Source organism: Homo sapiens, chromosome 6 (assembly GCF_000001405.40).
Source record: "Homo sapiens chromosome 6, GRCh38.p14 Primary Assembly".
NCBI lineage: Eukaryota > Metazoa > Chordata > Mammalia > Primates > Hominidae > Homo > Homo sapiens.
In genome coordinates this window covers 25,406,992-25,426,580 of record NC_000006.12, presented here as the reverse complement: position 1 = coordinate 25,426,580, position 19,589 = coordinate 25,406,992, and the positions used below count along the sequence as shown (strand labels likewise).

The following is a 19,589-nucleotide window of genomic DNA, read 5'->3' as shown; positions in this document are numbered from 1 at the left end:
GATCCATTTTTCACACTCACCTGAGCTGACTTGCTGCAAACGACGCCATGAATCTCCAAGTAGCTGAAGGTTAACTCGAGCTGCAATTGAGGGGAAAGGAGGAAAGAAAAGACCTGCAATGAGGGTTTTAAAAAAACATATAACTTAAGGTAAAAAAAAAAAAAAAAATCCTACAACTAGAAACAGCCCAAGAGCAAATAAGACACTGGGCATCTTCTGAAGGCGGGCTGGTTTAATATCTCCATTCATTCAACAAGATAGAAACATGATTTATCAAATTTCAGAAAAGGTGTTACTTTACTAAAAAAGAAAAGAAAGGAAGCTGCATGCACAACTTTTAAAATTATATCCAGAGACAAACACAATAGTAGAAGTTGGTGCAAAAGCAATCACAGTTTTTGCCATTAAAAGTAATAGCAAAAAACGCAATTACTTTGGCACGAACCTAATAAGTTTTTGCACTTAACCACTATTTATTCATTGAGAAATGAATGTATGGAAGGAACCATCTAAACACTTTTTTCCCTTTTTCACTTCAAAATTTTGCTTCAGAAAGTCCTATCAGGATAAAGTCAATGTTGTTTTTCCCTTCTTTCTAAACCTTCAGCTATTTGTTACACTCTGACCACTTACCAGAGTCAGCCGTCCTTCTACTGTCTTCCATAAAAATGCACAGTTTGAATGGATTTAGAGAAATAAATCTATACTTATCCTAATTAAATCCATATTTACACGAATACAATATTTAGGAATTTTAAGTTGTGCTTAAATGAAATACACAGAGTTAAACAAAAGTCCTCTCTCTCTGCATGTAAATAAATGATGATTTGTTTCCTCTCTATTTTAACAAGTGCCCCTCTCTTCTCCTGTAATCAGCAGTTTCTTTTTCTTTAAAATATCCCCAGTCTTTCACTCTCTACCTGTTTTTCCTGATAAACAGCCACTAATCTTTCTTCCCGGATTTTCCCCATTTCAGCAAATAATCACAGAGCATGGAGCTAGAGACAGTGGGGGACCAAGTTGGATCAATTTTTTTACCCTCCCACATTAAACCGAGAAATATAATGATAAAAAAACACATCCAGAACCAAACCCACAAGAGATTTAGTTCTGCTCCCTGGTGGTATGTTGTACCATGATACGTTGGTAGAATAAATTTTAGAGCAGAAAAACGCTGAATCTCCAGTTAAACATCTCAAAGTATACTGATGAAGTTATTATTAATAGTGGGGAGGGAAGTAAATACTGGGCAGAAAACCCCTGAATCTCCAGTTAAACAACATGAAGTATACTGATGAGCTCTGGAAGTAGAAAGAGAACTCATTCATTCATTATTCACTTGGTCAACTGACAAACACTTATGAAAAGCCCACTATGTGCCAGTATTGGAAATACAAAGAGTACTGAGACGTTTGTTTTGTCCTCCAAGAGCTAAATGCAACATTTAAGGCACATGTTTAAAAGCATTAAATTAGAGTAGAAGTTTTCTTGCCTATCATTATCAAGATCTATACATAATTTGGTTTTGAAAAGTCATTTAAAGCAGGAAATTATTTTCTAAAAAGTATACATACCTTCCTTCATTATTTTAATTTAAAGTTTATGAATAAATATTCATTCACTACCCTTTAATACTGTGCCAAAGTTTTTCTTTGAGTTAAGCCCACTGGCTGGCCCTCCAGTGGCCTTTCTGCATAAGCCATACTCACAAGTATGGCTTCCAGCTTCCAATTTAAGTCTCTTTAAAAATGCAGAACTGCAAAATACTTGCAAAGTAATATGACAGCAGACGTTTTCTAGATTATTATGCTCCTCACCACCCCTCCCCCAACTATAAAGTTGTCTAGTCTTTAAAACAGCAATTTAAGCAATTCACTTTCATCAATATTCAATGTCACAGACACTCTTCTTTTGCACTCATATTTTATTGCTACATAAAATATCTTTCACTAAAATGTTGCATTAAAAACATTTGCTACTATAACTGCTATAAACAGGTTTAGGAATAAACCCATGACCCTCAATGAGCATCTCATTCAGTGGGTGGTAGCAGGTGTGAATAGGTGTGAGCAGGTACCCTCTCTTACATGCTAACAGCTATGAAAATGCAGCTAGCATCAGTCAGCATCATCAGGGATAGGAATGGCCACCTTTGGTCAATTTGGCTCAGCAAGATTAGTTGGAGGTCAATTAAGATGCGTCTACTGTACCTGAGTGCTGTCCCTGGAGTAGAACAACAAAGTGCTGGGGAGCCAGGAAAGAGTGGTGACATTTCATCTAGGCCCTGAAGAATGACTTCAAGTTCCTCAAGCAAACAAGGAGTGTAGAGGGAAATTCAGGCAGAAGAAAAAGAATTCGCAAAGGCATCGAGGTGTTAAAAGAACTAGGACAAGGAAGAAACTAAAAGGAGCAGATCCTGCAGTATTAGTAATCAACAAGGATGACTGGCTGAGTCTGTGATTAGTTGAAGTCCCAGGTTATCATTAATAGTGGGGAGGGAAGTCTCTAAAACATACTGAAAGACGTCACAGCAAGGTTCAAATCATTCTCTCCTATCTCATCTATGGCTATTTTTATTAGGCCTTTGCTCCTGGTCCCCGCAACCCATCATCCACTCTACTCCAACCCACCCAAAGACAGTTTAAAGAATGTCACTGGATTAGATTTATGGGCAGGAAGAGGCAGGAAGACCAGTTAAGAAGCTGAGGCAGATGTAGGCTGCATGAAGACTTGAGGACATTTTTCAGTTAGAAATTACACTAATTAAATATCACCACAGAAATTAGTGAATTATTAGATAAGAGGAAAAACTTAACCCAGACTGTCAATAGCTTTTCCACCAATCTCTTGCTCACCTCACACCCAAACCCTCACAAGACAGTGCCCATCCCACAAGCAACAGAGCAGATCTCAAAGTGATAAGGAGCCTGTTCTTCAGTAACTCCCGCTCTTCCCCAGGCAGCAGTCTATGCTTCAGCTCCTCAGCCAGGCCTTGGCCCTGTCCGTCTTTCTGAGCTGTTTCCCTCCCACCACCGCCTCCTCCACAATCCTCAGCCCACACTCCAGCTCCCCAAATGCACTGTGGTCTTCCAAACTGCTAAGCCTTTTGGCCAGTATAAAACCCTTTATTTGCCCGGCTGATGGGTGATTTTTCAACTGGCCCTCTCCGCAAACCCTTCTTTGATCTCATAATTACCCAACCCCCGAAAGAAAAGTTAGGGCCTTCTGGGGTGATGGCACAGTTCTATTTCTTTATCTGGGTGTGACTGCAGAAGTGTTTGCTTCGTAGTTAATTACTGAGATGCACATGTCCGTTTTGTGCATTTGACTATATATGTTGTATATTTCACAATAAAATGACAAAAGAAAGATGTTTAATTAATCAGCTTCCAAAGAAAAGACATCTATGTCATAGTCAGTGCTTTACACTAATGTTATAAATATACTTATTTCTCCAGAAAATTAGTATCATTCACACTGGCTTTACTTCTCAGTCAAGACTTAAGGTGGCACATGAAAACCAGCCTTCTCTAAGGGGGAAAGCGGCAAAGCTGCAAGCAGATCACTTTGGAAGAAAATCTGCCTTTCTTTATTTGTGATGCTGACAATATCAGAAATCAGAACCAATGTTCAAACTACCCTGGCCAGGCTGGCTGTGAAACATTATATACATCACAGGACGGAGCCAAGCCTTTCCTCAGGGGCAGAGCAAGGAGGGGGCAGAATAAAGTCATATAAAGTCATCCAGCAGAAGGCAGGCAGGTGACTTCACAAGAGGTAACACACTTCCACTGTGTCACAACATGTTAGGGTATGCATATTTTTTAGGGATCTTCTATTCAATAGGGTGCTTGAATATTTTCCTAAGCCCATAAAATTTCCTTCTGTAATTAATATCTTACCAGTGGGATAATGTCTAATTAAAGTCCTCATATCATGCCTTCAGGTATTTTAACGTATAGTTTAGTCCAACTTCATTGACCTAATTTATTTATAAAACATAATAAACATATAGGCTCATTTTATATTATCTAAAGGGGCTTGGGCCAAAAGTCTCATTTCTTGGAGAAACTTTATAAAAGTTAACATTTGTATGATCGGGAGGAAAAAAAAAAGAAAGGCCACAGATATCCTAAGCCTATAACTAGCAAACATTGCATTGGCATCTTCCCAAAAGTCAGTGCAAATCATGAGACTGCAAGTCCCAAAAGATCCATTTCATTTGTACCAATAACATTATAGCGCCATAACTTGGCACCTAAGTCAGAATTTACAAAACAGTGGCTAAATGTTAAATTTTAAGAAACAAGAAAGGACTAATGAGCAAATAACACTGCGGCCCAAACATCATAGCACGATAAGGCTGAAAGCATCTACCAGACCTTACCCATTTTCCTGGATATGCAGGTAGGGGAAGCAGTTCAGCTCAGTAAAAAGTCTAAATAAGTAGGACATGGTGAGTCTAATTTCTCTTTCTCCCATTCATTACTTTTGAATCTTTAGACTAGCCAACTTCACATCTTTTAGCTATTTTCTTTTTTATTATTTTATTTTATTATTATTATACTTTAAGTTTTAGGGTACATGTGCACAATGTGCAGGTTAGTTACATATGTATACATGTGCCATGTTGGTGTGCTGCACCCATTAACTCGTCATTTACATTAGGTATATCTCCTAATGCTATCCCTCCCCCCCTCCCCCCACCCCACAACAGTCCCCAGAGTGTGATGTTCCCCTTCCTGTGTCCATCTGTTCTCATTGTTCAATTCCCACCTATGAGTGAGAACATGCGGTGTTTGGTTTTTTGTCCTTGTGATAGTTTACTGAGAATGATGATTTCCAATTTCATCCATGTCCCTACAAAGGACATGAACTCACTTTTATGGCTGCGTAGTATTCCATGGTGTATATGTGCCACATTTTCTTAATCCAGTCTATCATTGTTGGACATTTGGGTTGGTTCCAAGTCTTTGCTATTGTGAATAGTGCCGCAATAAACATACGTGTGCATTTGTCTTTATAGCAGCATGATTTATAGTCCTTTGGGTATATACCCAGTAATGCGATGGCTGGGTCAAATGGTATTTCTAGTTCTAGATCCCTGAGGAATCACCACACTGACTTCCACAGTGGTTGAACTAGTTTACAGTCCCACCAACAGTGTAAAAGTGCTCCTATTTCTCCACATCCTCTCCAGCACCTGTTGTTTCCTGACTTTTTAATGATTGCCATTCTAACTGGTGTGAGATGGTATCTCATTGTGGTTTTGATTTGCATTTCTCTGATGGCCAGTGATGGTGAGCATTTTTTCATGTGTTTTTTGGCTGCATAAATGTCTTCTTTTGAGAAGTGTCTGTCTTTTAGCTATTTTCTAATCACTCATCTACAATGTTACTGTGAGAATTAAATGAGACTGTATCCTTACATACTTAGTAAATAACTTATTAGATTCTAGCAATAACAGAAGCAGAGGCTTTGCAGCCAGCCTCCCTTGATTAGAATCACACATGTGCCACATACTAGTGGAAGTTTAACCTTGGTCAAGTTACTGAACCTCCTTGGGCCTCAGTTTTCTCATCAATAAAGGGGATAATAATAAGACTTATAGCTCTCATGAGATTCTGTTAAGGATCAAGTTATCTACTAAAACAACACTCCAGTAAATGTTATCACCTTTTTAGGAAAAAGATCTCAATTTCCTATGACCATTCAGTCAATATCATATAAAAATGATAAACTCCTTTTAGTTAACATAAACAAAATAAGTCATTATTATGATTAATCCACAAACGATCAGTTCGAATTCTGCACCAAGTAATGAAGGACATCTTATGAAAAATGTTATATATCTCTTTTAAAGAACAGAGTGGCATCTTGTTATTTCTTACAGGCAACATCAGAGTAGACGGAGAACAGCTGAGATGGTTACATTTCTGGTAGTGTATTCTTTGGAGTTATGAAAGTTACTCCCCACATGTCTGAAGTCTTAGAAAAATCTGCCAGTACTTCGGATCACCGAAGGAAATAAGAAGTAGACTTGAATAAAGTGGAAATCAAGCCCCAGTTGAGAGAGAAAAATAACTGGGACATGGAGCCTTAGGGACATAGAGCACAAAATCCTTCACTGATTTTCTTGGGATGCCTTTACACAAAGAGAGGGAACAAAGGAGTAAAAAATATGTTTCTCATTACAGCCTTTAGGTGCTTCTGGGAAGAAGGAAGGAAAACTTGAATGTGCTAAGAGAAATCTGAACACAGCTTAAATCAAAAGTCTATGTAAGTGAGGTGTGTGTGTGTTGTGTTGCAGTATATGAAGGAATATGTGTGCACACATGTAAGAATGCATGAGTGACTATGCATGAGTGGGTATGAGTGAGTGTGAGTGCAGAAGGAAGGACTTCATCAACACTTACCTTGGTGGGGATTCGCGCTGTTACAAGGAAGGCTCGGCATGATGTAAGGACCTGTAAGACAGAAGCAGCAGCATCAGTATAAGCACCAAAAAGTGGGGCCAGTGGGCTTTGGTGTTTCCACGGGACTTTAATGATACTGAAACCTCAGAAGGCCACATGGCTTGGCTCCTGTCATGTAAGAAGAATTACGAGCTGGGACAGCTTCTTGGTCTCAGAATTAGTTTTAACTTAAAGAGTCCCTGTATCAAAGTTCTTTTAGAACAAATCACAGGTGAAATCTCAAGATGAGAAATCTGTCAGCAGCCCAAAAACCCAACAGATTATTCAGATTAAGTAAAACAGGTCTCTGTGATACTAAAATGCATAAGATACATAGTCACAAGTCTCACTATATCAACAGCAAACTTAATGGAAAAAAAACAACAACTAAGTACTCATTTGCACTTCCCAAATTACAAACACCTCCCACCTTTGCCCTCTTGCTTTCCATTCTTTGTACTCCAGCTAACATTTATATAATGCACAGAGCAAAATCAGGCTAAGCTTCCAAAAAATCATCCCTAACTTTGCTTCTCAGCTGTGCCTCTCTCAGTCTTAGAACATTTATGGAAGTTTCCTTTTTGATACTCAGCTAAGAACATACATACAGCCTGTGGGGTCCCATATGCCTATAGGTTCCTTTTACTTAGCAGAGGCCCTCATGAATACTAAGGGGCTGAGCTAGGAGTTCAGATCTTGAGCCAGGATCCCACATCCATGAAGCTTACTACAAAACTTTCCACTCTGCAACTTTGAGATTTGGACAGGCCTCATGAGTCTTTTCAATAAAGAAAGAAAACTCCAAGGCTTCTCAAGTCCTGATGGGAGAATTGCCCTCTTTTCATTTTCCAAATAACTTCCTTGTCACTAAGCCTGTATTTAGCAAGTGGTGCTTATTTAGCAAGTTATGCTTATGTGCTAGTTCAAGAATGCTGGATTAGAACAAAACTGTAGAAAGTTAAGAACACTGGGACCTCAGGTTGTTAAAGGACTTACCCAAAGTCAAACAGCTTTACCCAGACACAACCCCGGGCTTGAACGGCTAAGCTGAGCACAGAAAGTCAATCAAGGCTGTGCCCCTGTGGCGTGCTTTATACCTTTCCCTAGTCTCCCAACTCCAAATAGAAACAATGCATTTTCTATAAAATCTTTCTTTGAATAATCATATGTCATCACGGTAGGGGATAACTCAAGCCAGAACTATTTATGAGACAGATGAGAAGAGAAGTAATCTGACACTGGCTGGGAGAGTGTGATAAAAGCGGGTGAGGAAAGTTGAGGGAAAAGACACAGCCCATTTCAAGACCTTTCACCCAAATGCCACCGTCACAGTTATTCACAGGATCAATTTTTACCTGGTATCATTTTTGTGGCTTGATTTTAGAGTTGGCATGCCCTAGGAAGCCATTAATAAATGACTTCTAAAAGTGTAGGCAACCAGTGCCTTCTCAATGCTACAGGCAGCATGTCAGTCTCATAAAAATGTGGGCAACAGATGATGTCTATCTTTGAATATTCCATATGCTGTGAGCCAAATCACATCTTTTCCCTGAGGAATTTATCTTTTTTTTTTTTTACACCCTCCTAAGGCCTTGGGGGCAAGGAAATGGGACAAAGCACCAGGCAGTAGAAAGGAGAGGGACAGGGATGAAGTATGGCCAGGATGAGTGCGGGGAGGTCAAGTGCAGCTCGGTAGTAGCAAGACTGGCTACATAATCTGTAGGGACATTGTTCAAATATGATTAAGAATTTCAAGACGATAACAATAAGGCATTAACCCAATGCAGGGAAATGATGAACTCGTTTCAAGGTCATATAATTAGGGGAGAAACAGAATTCACATGCTTGGGATGGAAGGCATCCTGCTTGTAGGGTGTCCAGCTCTTTCTGTTTGCACAAGGTGTTTCCAGTTTCAGGGCTGAGAATCCTGCATCCCGGGAAACTGGGACTGTTGGTCAACCTACTAGCTTGAATTTTGGAATCAGAAAGACTTACATTCAGATTCTGGCTCTGCCACTTTCTGGCTGCATTTACCTGTTAATGCCAAAGCCTGTGTCCTTAACCACCACAATATGTCTACATGTTATTACTCAATCGTGCCTCCTTGTGCTCTAGCCCCTGGTGGATGTGTCCTGTGCAACTGTACAGATTGCAAGCCATAAAAGCTGTCCCTAAGCGTTGCTACTCTTTGTCGAGCATTTTCTATGTGCCATGAATAGGTGAATATCTTTGAGGAGAGTGGCACACTTAATCCTCACAACAACTATATTTGATGTCATTATTCCCATTTTTCAAATGAGTAAATTGAGACTCAGTGATGAACTCACTTCAAGGTCATTCAATTAGAGCAGAAATCGTTTATAAAAGCATCAGAGTTCAAAAGGTCCTTAAGAAGAGTATAATTTAAATCTTACAGCTTTGTTAACACCAAAACCAATGTTCTTAACCACCAGGCTATATTTATATGTTACTACTCAATCCTGCCTCCTCGTGCTCTAGCCCCTGGAAGATCAGTTACCGTGAAGGTAGGAAGGGATAGCCCAGGGCAGCCATGACTGGAAGAGATCCACAAAGCTCTCAGCTTGAAGGAGTACCTTTTTCAACATTCCAACAGTTTTCAAAATGCTCTTTTTAAATCCAAGTATGCCCTGGAGAGCTGAACTCTTCTGTCATCAGCACTAGTTAATCTTTGGCTAATACAGCAGTACTCAGGGAATTAAGAGTTTGCAGGCCTTTTGCAAAAGGGCAGGAGATCATTTTGTTGCATGAGACACACAGGGTTGGATAACAGGCATCAGATAATCAAAAGAAGCATGACAGTAATAAAGAGGAATTTGGAAAGGGAGATAAAAGGCACCAGAGATACGCTTGGCTTGCACTGCCATTTGCCTAGGTCTGGGGAGCGGAATACAAGATTAGAACTCATCTTACAGGATGAAATATTCACCTTCTCTGAACTAAGCTCCACAGTGCATCCAGCACCTTCTACTCCAGTTTAGCCCCAGGATATGACCCCTCTTTCAAATACTGCTCCTCCCCCAGAGTGGAAAAGAAAAAGAAATAAGATAATAATGCTGACAACCATGATCATAAGCATGGCTATAGGAAGCCAGTCCCCTATTCTCACCATTTCTCCCTTTTTATTATTTACAAAGCAGCACACACATTTCTCTCTCCCAGGGGTACTGGTATGATCAATCCCCAATCTTTCCAAAAAGCTTAGGTCCACAAAACCTCTGCATAGAGGTAAAATAACAGACAAATCCTAAAACTCGTATGCCAGAAAGGTCTCAACATCACATTGTCAAAGACCTAAAATTCCCTGAGTTTGTATATTATCTGACAGCAGGTCCAGAGAAACTCATCATCTCACAGCTAGTCAGTGGCAGAGCTGGAACTAGAAGCTGCAACTCCTCACTCTCAGTCTATTAACTCTCCACTCTCACCTTACATTAAAAGTAAGGTTCAAGGCCAAAAGTCAAAGACAGGAACTTGTAGCCTCTTCAGTATTCATAAAAATATATTTAACTGTGAACTTTCCTTCAAAGGAATTCAGGATCCTTTCACAAACATAGTAATAATTGCCAGTACCTGTTGAGTACACTGTTCTAATAGGTTTGTATATGTTACCACATTTAATCCTCACAGCACCCTATAAGGAAAACACTATTATAATCCCCATTTTAAGATGAAGAAACAGAGGCACATGGAGATTATGTAATTTGTGCAGGTCATCCAGCAAGTAGGTGGCAGTTGGGATTTGAGCCTGGATGGTCTGGTTCCAGAGATGGTGTTCCTAATGACTTATACTGGCTGTCAAAGCTCACCTTTCCAAAAAACAGATTCCTCAATAGTCCACACACATGGAAACATAGATGAGTCATGGAGCTTTAAAGCCAGAAAGAAGCAAACACGTAAAATGACCAGCAGTACAATGAGAGATGTTTGGATATCATAAGGAAAAGGACCAATCCCTACTGGTCTGCGTGTCTCCTTCTGTCTCTTTCTATGCACCGCCATCATCTGTTAGTCTCTGTGTCTCTGAATTTCTCTCTTATCTCTGTTCTGTATCTGTCTACATGATTCTACGTATGTACCTCTCAGTCTATCTGTGCCTCTCCTCACTGGCTCCCCACCCCTCCTCTGACCCCTCTCTCTGCTACTGCTGCCAGTGTCCCCCACACTCCACCCCGTCTTGCTCCATCTCCTTTCCCTCTTCTGGTGCGCTCCTCCCCTGCCTTCATTCTGCCCTCCATTCCCCAGCCCCTTCTCCATGAGAATCACTTGAGAACTTGTTACTTTATTTATTCCTTTTGCAAGACAATAGACACCAATCACAGAAGAAAGAATGCATTCTAGAAAAGTATTTCATTTGTAACACAGTTACAGAAAAACGTGAACAAAGTATGAACCAAAAATAATTAGACACCTTTTGACATCATTATACAATGAGCATATTGGCTATTAAGTGATTACAACGTCCCCTGTGTGAATCTAATTAATAAGTCTTAAAAACTAATCTCAAACATGCACCCAAACAACTGAAATACAACAGCAATCACTAACACAAGGAACCAGCCAGCCATTCCATCCTTTGACAATTGTTGCACTTTAGGGAATAACGCTCCCACTACCAGTGGGGGAGTGGGGGTGGGGGGTGGGGAGAGGAAGAGGGAGGGAGTCAGGTGACCTGCTTGTCTTCTCTTGACTTGCCCTTTCCAGAACAGTCACCATAGGAAGTTTCTAGAGGCCACTGACAGGGTATGAACTAGGGTCAGAATATTTAAAACAAGAGGAGAGCTGGGTGTGGTGGCTCATACCTGTAGTCCCAACTACTCAGGAGGCTGAGGTGGGAGGATCTCTTGAGTCCAAGAGTTCGAGGTTACAGTGAGCTACGATGGTGCCACTGCACCCCAGCCTGGGTGACAGAGCAAGACCCCATCTCTAAAAATAAAAAATGAAATAGAAAAAAAAAGAGTAGAAAAAAGAAACCAGAATGTTCATATGGATTCATCTTTTGAGTAAAGATTAATTTTGTAACTACAGGTAGATACATGAGGATCTAATGATCATTTCTACCTTCACCCCAGCAATAATAAGGTTCACAATCTGTGGCCCTCTGTGTCAACTCCCTTTCTTTAAAAGTATTTTACAGGCAGTGGAAGTACACAGTGTCCTTCAGAAGTTGGATACAGATCAAAATAATTTGTCTGAAAAGAAACACATTCATAAGGGAGCCCAGGCTTTGAAGGAAGACTGATAAGCTACAAAAGCTTTGTGCAGGATGGTCCCCATTTCTGGTGGTCAGTGAAAGCCTCCAGAGACACAGAGAGTTCACAGAAAATGTGGAAGGGGATGGGGGTTGGAATAGAGGAAATCTTCCAAGCTTTCCCAAAACTGTACCCACTTGTGGGTACAACAGGGCAGCAATATTTTAAAGCAAGAATGAAAATTACAAATACTACTGTTACAAGTCAGATTGTGACTCTTGTTTTATCAACACAAACCGAGCCAATTAATGGGGCTACATTCATACTAGAAATCCCAATGAACTCAGTCTCCCAGCCTCTCTGTTTGGCTCCAAAACTGCCCTAGGATTTAAAGCTTCAGAGGATTTATAGTACACACACATGGTTTCTAGCAGAGTCAGGGGCAGTTGCACAGGACACATCCTCTGTGACTTACCAAAAAGGGTTTCCTGATAATGAATACTTCTTCAGTGCCTGGGATGGGAGGCATCCTGCTTGTAGGGTGACCAACTCTTTCTGTTTGTATAAGACGTTTCTAGTTTCAGGGCTGAGAATCCTGCATCCCAGAAAACTGGGACTGTTGGTCAATCTACTAGCTTGAATTTTGGAATCAGAAAGACTTATATTCAGATTCTGGCTCTGCCACTTAAACCTGATAGACTTTTGTTATCTCTAGAGAGTTAGAGATTACAGAATTACAGATGAGCAAACTGAGGTGCCTCATACAAGAGATGCTCAAACAAGAATATTCCTCTGCAGGACTGTTACTGTTGTGTGGATTAAATAAGATACAAATGCAGATAAAGCCCTACCCCAGAACCTAATATGCCTTTGCTAAACACCAGCTCTTCTTATAACTTAACTAATAGCATCTTAGATTTAGTTTCACAAAGTAAGATTAAGTTGCTTCACCTACTGAATTTTTTAATAATTGTTTTTGTCAAAAGAACAAAACAAACAAAAAATACAAAGATATTGAAACTTCTCCTAGGCTGCAATTTTCTGTTCAATGCACATCTTTGGCTTTGAAGGGAAGAATTTTCTTGCAAAGTTAAAAAAAAAATTAGGGTGCATCAGATGGAGTATATGTGCTTAGCCAAGGAACCTTCACCACAAAGGGTAAGCTACAACTTCCCTCCCACCTCCCCTGGGAAGGCCCATTTTTCCACTGCAGCCTTAACATGCAAACCACATTTTCAACCTCTGTAATGAATTTCCTCTGCCTTTCATTGAAATGCAAGTAGCAGCCAGTTCCCTCTGAGGCTTCTTGGTTCAACTTTTAACTTCATAATTTCACTTAGAAACATTTATAAGTCCTCCTTACTGTTAAGACTCACAGTTTAGCAGAGAAGCCTATGTTTTCTTATGGAGATATGGAGGTCAACTATGGAATCTGCTCATTGCACACTTATTAGAAACTGAAATAAATACATACCATCTTAAATAACTCCATGGCCTAAAGCCTACTGCAGCACAGGCAATCCATAAATTCATGCTCTCTAAATCCACATTCTCTCATGCAGATTACCAGGAGTGCCTTTTCTTTAAAATTGGGCTCTACGTGCCAAACATTCAACAAATGGTCTTACACCCTTGAAGCACTCTCTAATTTGCAAGCAAACTAAATGATGAATGCCATCATTCCCCCTCTTAATACTTTCCCCTTCCAAACTCCCAGCTCTAAGTACGTTACAGATAAAACCTCATTAATCCAAGACATATACCTAGGTGAGGGAGAAGGGCAGGTGGTGAGGCACATTATCACCACTGCAGAGTTATAAGTGGCAGATGATAAGGGACTTTTGCAAGGTCACCCAGAAAACTGAAGGAGAATAAAACCTCTCTCCTGGCTCTGAGCCTCCTAACACTATACTCAGCTATGATGAACATCATCCTTCCTGGCAGGAGGACACTTCACCCAAAAGGAACACCAAAAAAGTACATTTTAATTTAATTCCTGACTTAAAATCCTTTTCAAAATTAGAGCTTCACTCTTCATGGGCAGCTGTGGGATACATTGATATTAATGGATGTGCCCCAGTGAGGCTATACAGCCTAGTGTAGGGTTTGCAAACTACAGCTTATAAGTCAAACCCAGCCTCTTCCCACTACCCCACATAGAGTTTTATGGCTCATAAAGCCCAAGATATGGTTACTGACCCCTGGTCTAGTGGTTTAGAGAATAAATTGTAGATTTAGACTGCCTGGGTTTGAAACCAAGCTCCATTATTTAATATATACATGGCTAAGAGCAAATTACTAAACCTTTCCTGTGCCTCAATTTCCTCCTTTTCTCTTTAAGATATAGGGTCTCACTCTGTCACCTAGGGTGCAGTGGAGCGATCACAGCTCACTGCAGCCTAGACTTCCTGGGCTTAAGTAATCCTCTGGTCTCAGCCTCCGGAGTAGCTGGGATTACAAGCATGTGCCACCATGCCCAGCTAGTTTTTAATTTTTTACAGAGATGGGGTATTGCCATGTTTCCCAGGCTGGTCCCAAACTCGTAGCCTCAAGCAATCCTCCCAGCTCGGCCTCCCAAAGGACTGGGATTATTGGCATGGGCCATCAAGCCACTGCACCAGGCTCTCTTCTCTTTAAAAATGAGAGAAATATTTACACTTCATGGAATGATGAGGGTTAAATGAGTTAATACACCTAAAGTGCTCAGAAGAGTGCTGGCACATGAGAATTGCTACATGGTGTCTGTTACTGTTATTTACATTTTAATATCATAATAAAATTTTAGGTCTATAATAGTAGTAAACCAAGAAGAGAGTTATCCAGATTTAGCCTGAGTCTGGCCTCAAGTTAGCCAAGTGGCCTAACCATGAACAAGTTACAATCTCTAGAGACCTTATTTTACCCAAATTTAAAATAAGAGGTTTGGTTGGAACAGGTCTCAAAGTCACTTCCCTACACTCTGAGCCCATGACTTAGACTCTCTCTGGGATTCTCCTCCAGCCCCACTCTTTTTGGGTGGACTTCTAGGAATGACAAGCCCCCGGTAAATATTTGCTGAGAGGAATTAATTCCCCCTTAGATCTCTGCTCCCTGGACCAACAGGTGCTTCTTCAATAGGCGGTCAAGAAGTCACTGAGTTTCGTTTTCTATTCGGATGTTTAGTTTCAGAGGAAATCTACGTACTCTAACACCTGTGCAAATCCATTTATTTTCACCTAATTCATTCCTTTTCACATTATGTAGAAATGGAATGTTTACATACAGCATGCCAGACACAATCACTTCATTCTTTCCAAAGTCACACTATTGCAAGTTGTAAGGTGTTATCAAAGCATAAAAGAAACAAACATGTCTAATGTTCGCCCACAGGTGAACACAGGGGCCAGTACATATCAGATCCTCTTTTCAAAGCACCCGCTGATACAGAAGTCTGGAATCTCCCATAGTGATTCTGTTAGAACAATGTATTTTAAAGTCAGAGTAATGATAGGTCTTCTTTAATGACAGTACTTTAGCAGTGACACACTAACATGAATGGGCATCTTTAAGTGGTGGCAGGATGGTAATTCTTAGCATGAGGCCAAGGGTGAAGATGAGTGAAGTATCCAGCTCCAGGCCCACAGGGTCCATGAGGATTTTGTGTTAAGAACTCACATGTGGCAGAACTCCTACCCAGGCCCTCAACTATTGGGTGAGCAGACAGCAGGGGACTCACAGGTCTGCATAGGGCATGTGTGCTAAGAGACCTCATCTAGTCATCACTGTCATATTTATGTTTTAAATAAATTCACAAGTAATAGAGTCACAGTTATTCAGGGAATACAGAAAAAATATAACTATAAAGTTCATATTAACCTAATTAATTACTAAAACTTCTGCTTCCCCAACACAGGGCCAGCCAGCCTCTTTTAGAACACATCCATTTGAGAATCACTAGAACCCAATTCTAGCTAAAGATGAGAGAGTTAAGAGGGGTCAGGGGATATGTGTGCCCTTTTCCTTTATTTTACAGATGAGGAAACAGATCAGGAAGAGTTAAATTATTCCTCTGTGCCTATTAGGGCTTATTCTTAGTTTCAAGCAACAGAATTTTAAGAATAAATAAATTTACTTAAAGGAAATTGAGTAGTTCTTGTAATCAAAAGAACAACCAGAACTCAGTAGAGACAGAAACCAAATCAACTCTAAAGATGGGAGAAGCAGGGACTAATAAGGAGTTCCTCTGGCTGCCCTCGTGGAACAAATTGACTCCAATCTTCCACCCTAGCATGTTCCCTCTCAAGATTCAAAGCCTAGGGCGCAAAAGTCCCCTCCTGGGCCTGGCACCAAATAAAGACCACACAGAATTACTCAAAAGTTGAGACAAGTGGCAGCTATGGCCTAGTGACAACGAGCACTGGCTCCAGGGAGTCTGCTAGACCACTCTCTACCAACCATGCAATCTTGGGCAGGTAACTCAGCCTCCCATACCTCTGTCTCCTCACCTGAGATAATACATGCAAAACACAAGTACCTGGCACATGAAGGAGTCCAATAAATGCTAAATGGAAGAGTTGGAACAAGAAATCAGTTTCACTTTTCTTTTACTGTAAGTCTATTGCCGCAGTCCCTCCCCAGCCTACATCATTTCAACTTGTCTGTGTTTCTTGGCCTTACATTCTCATCTTCTCAAGCCAAGGAAACACAAATGTCACTTCTTTCTCCCTCCCTTGTTATATTAGCATTTTCATCAAATGAAAAAAATACATATTTTCTTTCCTTCTCTCAGAACAAAGTTATAAGATAGTTTCCCACTTTGCAGAAAGGTGGTTGCCATATGGCGGCGGGGGGCGGGGGGGGTTGATTTAGATTTAACACCATTACATATATAATCAGAGAAATAGTCTTCATTAAATTCAGAGAATAAAAAATAAGGAAAGAAGGAGAATATAAGATTTGGGGTAATCCTATCAAGAAATTAAGGTAGGTATATAATTTACAGCGGTGCTTCTCAAACTGAGGGCTACAACCCATTGGTGGGTAGTTAAATCAATTCATCAGAGTTTAATGAGCATATTAATATGACAGACTAAACCAAAGTGAAAAGGAAAAGAAAGCCAAGGCACAGCAAGTAGAAAACATGAGCATTATTTCACAAAACTTGTTTGAGTGATGTCAGTATATACATGGTACTCGCATGCAAATGTGTGTGTGTGTGCACAATTCTCGAAATCAATATAAAATGCATGTTTTACTCTGGATCCAGGTTTTGAAAGTTTGATAAATACTAGCATACGGTACCATATGCACCTGTAAGCGGGATCCACCATGAGGCTATAGATGAGGATGAGGCAGCTGGTAAGATGGCAAGAACATGAGCTTTAGAGTCAGACACACTTCAGGCGAAATCTCAGCTTTGCCATTTTGTGGACTGAGAGGTATTAGGCATGTTGCTTGAAATCTCCAGGCCTCAGCTTTTTCACTTCTAAATTGGAGACAATCTGTATCCTAGTTTAAGTACTAGAGATAACCTATCAAGTGCTGAGCATACAGTAGATACTAATATAAAAGGAGCCATAATAATTGTCCTCAAACTTATAGAATATAGCTCTGAAAATGATCCACAGGGACAAAGGTGTGAGACCTACAGAGACAGTGTGCAAACTTGCTAGTTAGAAACAGAGCTGAGCCCAGAAGCCCAGTCTCCTGGTCTCAGCCTTATTCGTAACACATCATCTTCAGCATGTGGCTTGAGTCAGAGCAAGGGGGAGAATACTCCCATGGTAACTATAACCTATTTAAGAATTAGAAGAGAATTTCCATTTCTATATGGTGATGGGATAAACTTTGATATAAAGGAAGAATGGGCTTTGAATCCAGACCAATTTAGATCAAATTACCAACTCCTCCATTTATCAACTACCTAACCTCCTAAATTTTATTTTTCTTACCTGTAGAATCAGTATGAAATAGACTCTGTTGGACAGTTGTGGGGATTAAAGGGGTAACATGTAAAAAGCCTACAAGTACTGTGCCTAGCACTCTCCTAGATATGCTGAACTTCATTCATAGGTGAGGCTAATACCTGGCTCAAAATCTTTTTTTTTTTTTTTCTATTTTATGTAGAGACAGGGTCTCACTACATTGCCCAGGCCGGTCTTAACTCCTGGGATCAAATGATCCTCCCACCTCACACTTTCTATACAGCCCCAACTTCTCTCATCAGGGGACAATACAGCATCCAATCATGCAGAGCACTAGGCTTTGAAACTGTACCACCCCAGTTTGAATTCTGGTCCCACCACTTACAAGCACGAATGATTTTGAGAAAGACCTCTGTGTGCCTTACTTTCCTCATCTGTAAAATATGGGATCACAATATATACCTCACTGGAGGTTGTCATAAGGATTAAAGAAGGTAATACACACAAGGTGCTTAGAAAAGTGTTGGCGATAGTCAGTGTAAATCATTGCATCCCTAAAGATATGATGATCAGGAAGCCTTTGAATTCTTCGGCCTTCTTGTTCACTCTGTCATATCCTGGGCCATGTTAGTTACTGCTTGAGATTATACCATGTCAAACGATTTCTAATTCAGGCATCCCACTCTCTGCCCGAAATCTTTTTTTTTTTTTTTTTTTTTTATTTTAAGAGACAGGCTTTTACTGTCACCCGGGCTGGAGTGCAGTGGTGCAATCTCGGCTCACTGCAGCCTTGACCTCCCAGGCTCAGGTGATCCTCCTGCCTCAGCTTTTCAAGTAGCTACTACAGGCACAAGCCACCACACCCAGGTAATTTTTAAACTTTTTGTAGAGATGACGTCTATGTTGCCCAGGCTGGTCTCAAACTCCTCAGCTCAAGTGATCCTCCCACCTGGGCCTCACAAAGTGTTTGGATTATAGTCATGCACCACCACACCTGGCCCTCACAGTGTGATCCACGGGCCAGAGAGGCTGGCGTGACAGGAACTTGTTAGAAATGCAGAATCTGAGGCCTCAGCCCAGACCTGCTGAATCAGAATCTGCGTTTTTACTAAAATCCCCAGGTGATTCACATTAGCATTACAGTTGGAGAAGCACTCATAGCTAGTTCCCTTATTCAGGTACTACCACTACCCTGTTTATTGCCCCCTGACACTGCCAGGTCATTCTCCATCAGCACTAACCTATCTTCATCCAACTGAACCTCCACTGAAATCATTCCTCCATGTGTTAATGTCCTTAGCCTTCGTGTTCCTTGTCCTTTTATTACTCCCACAGAGTAAAACTTCAATCTTGGCTGAACTTACCTAGCCGCCTATTCCATGCTTGCAGTGGTAGCTGCCAAGCACAGCTGGAGAACTGATCTTACCCAGCAACCTGATTCCGTTCCCTTCATCTGGGAAGATGACTTTCCCTCCTACTTCACAGAGAAAACAGAAATTATCAGAATGGTATCACTTACCATTCCACTCCAAACCTCCACACCTGCCTGCATCTGCAGCTGTACCCACCCCCTCCTCTTCCTCTCCTTCTGAAGTGCTGGAGATAAATGCCCGTCCCTTCGTGTGGGCTCTGGGTTACATCCCACCTGTCTTTGCAGGAACCTTAAGCAACTAAATATCCTTTCTCTTCCATCTCTAAATATCCAAACATAGAGATGTTTAGACCTAGAGCTATATGCCTGGATCCTACACACCTCTTGCAGGTCCCCTCTAACTGTCTCTACCCTTTGAGCCCAACTTCTCAAAAAAGGTACCCATACTCAGTGTCTTCATATTCCTGCCTCCAATTCACTCATCTAGTGTTCAAAATTGGCTTCTGTCCCCACAACTCCACTTAAATTTCTCCTGCTTGAGGTGCCAATCTTGATTGCTAAATCCAACCTCACGGCTGCTAAATCCATGCACTTCCTAACCAGATTTCTCCTTAGCACTGGGCATGGCCCTTCATGCTTGATGTTCTCG

The 19,589-nt window shown here is 40.8% G+C and overlaps 1 protein-coding gene and 1 long non-coding RNA gene across 22 annotated transcripts in view; one reads left to right on the top strand and one right to left on the bottom strand.

The window, feature by feature from the left end:
• CARMIL1 (capping protein regulator and myosin 1 linker 1) overlaps positions 1-19,589 on the bottom strand; it is a 341,157-nt gene that overhangs the window by 193,950 nt on the left and 127,618 nt on the right. For 17 of the 20 annotated variants that reach the window (XM_017011008.2, XM_017011009.2, XM_017011015.2 and 14 more), the window contains exons 3-4: positions 6,417-6,467; positions 21-80 (exon numbers count right to left, since the gene is read on the bottom strand). In XM_017011008.2, the coding sequence (XP_016866497.1) occupies positions 21-80; positions 6,417-6,467 (111 nt within the window). The remainder of the gene's footprint in view (positions 1-20; positions 81-6,416; positions 6,468-19,589) is intronic. The other 3 variants (XM_047418996.1, XM_047418998.1, XM_047418999.1) reach the window with 1 other exon arrangement.
• LOC124901281 (uncharacterized) overlaps positions 1-19,589 on the top strand; it is a 124,485-nt gene that overhangs the window by 25,610 nt on the left and 79,286 nt on the right. Inside the window, exon 2 of one of the 2 annotated variants that reach the window (XR_007059511.1) lies at positions 6,198-6,279. This is a non-coding gene — a long non-coding RNA (uncharacterized LOC124901281). Of the gene's footprint in view, positions 1-5,288; positions 6,280-19,589 lie in introns of those variants that run through there. The other variant, XR_007059512.1, reaches the window with a different exon arrangement.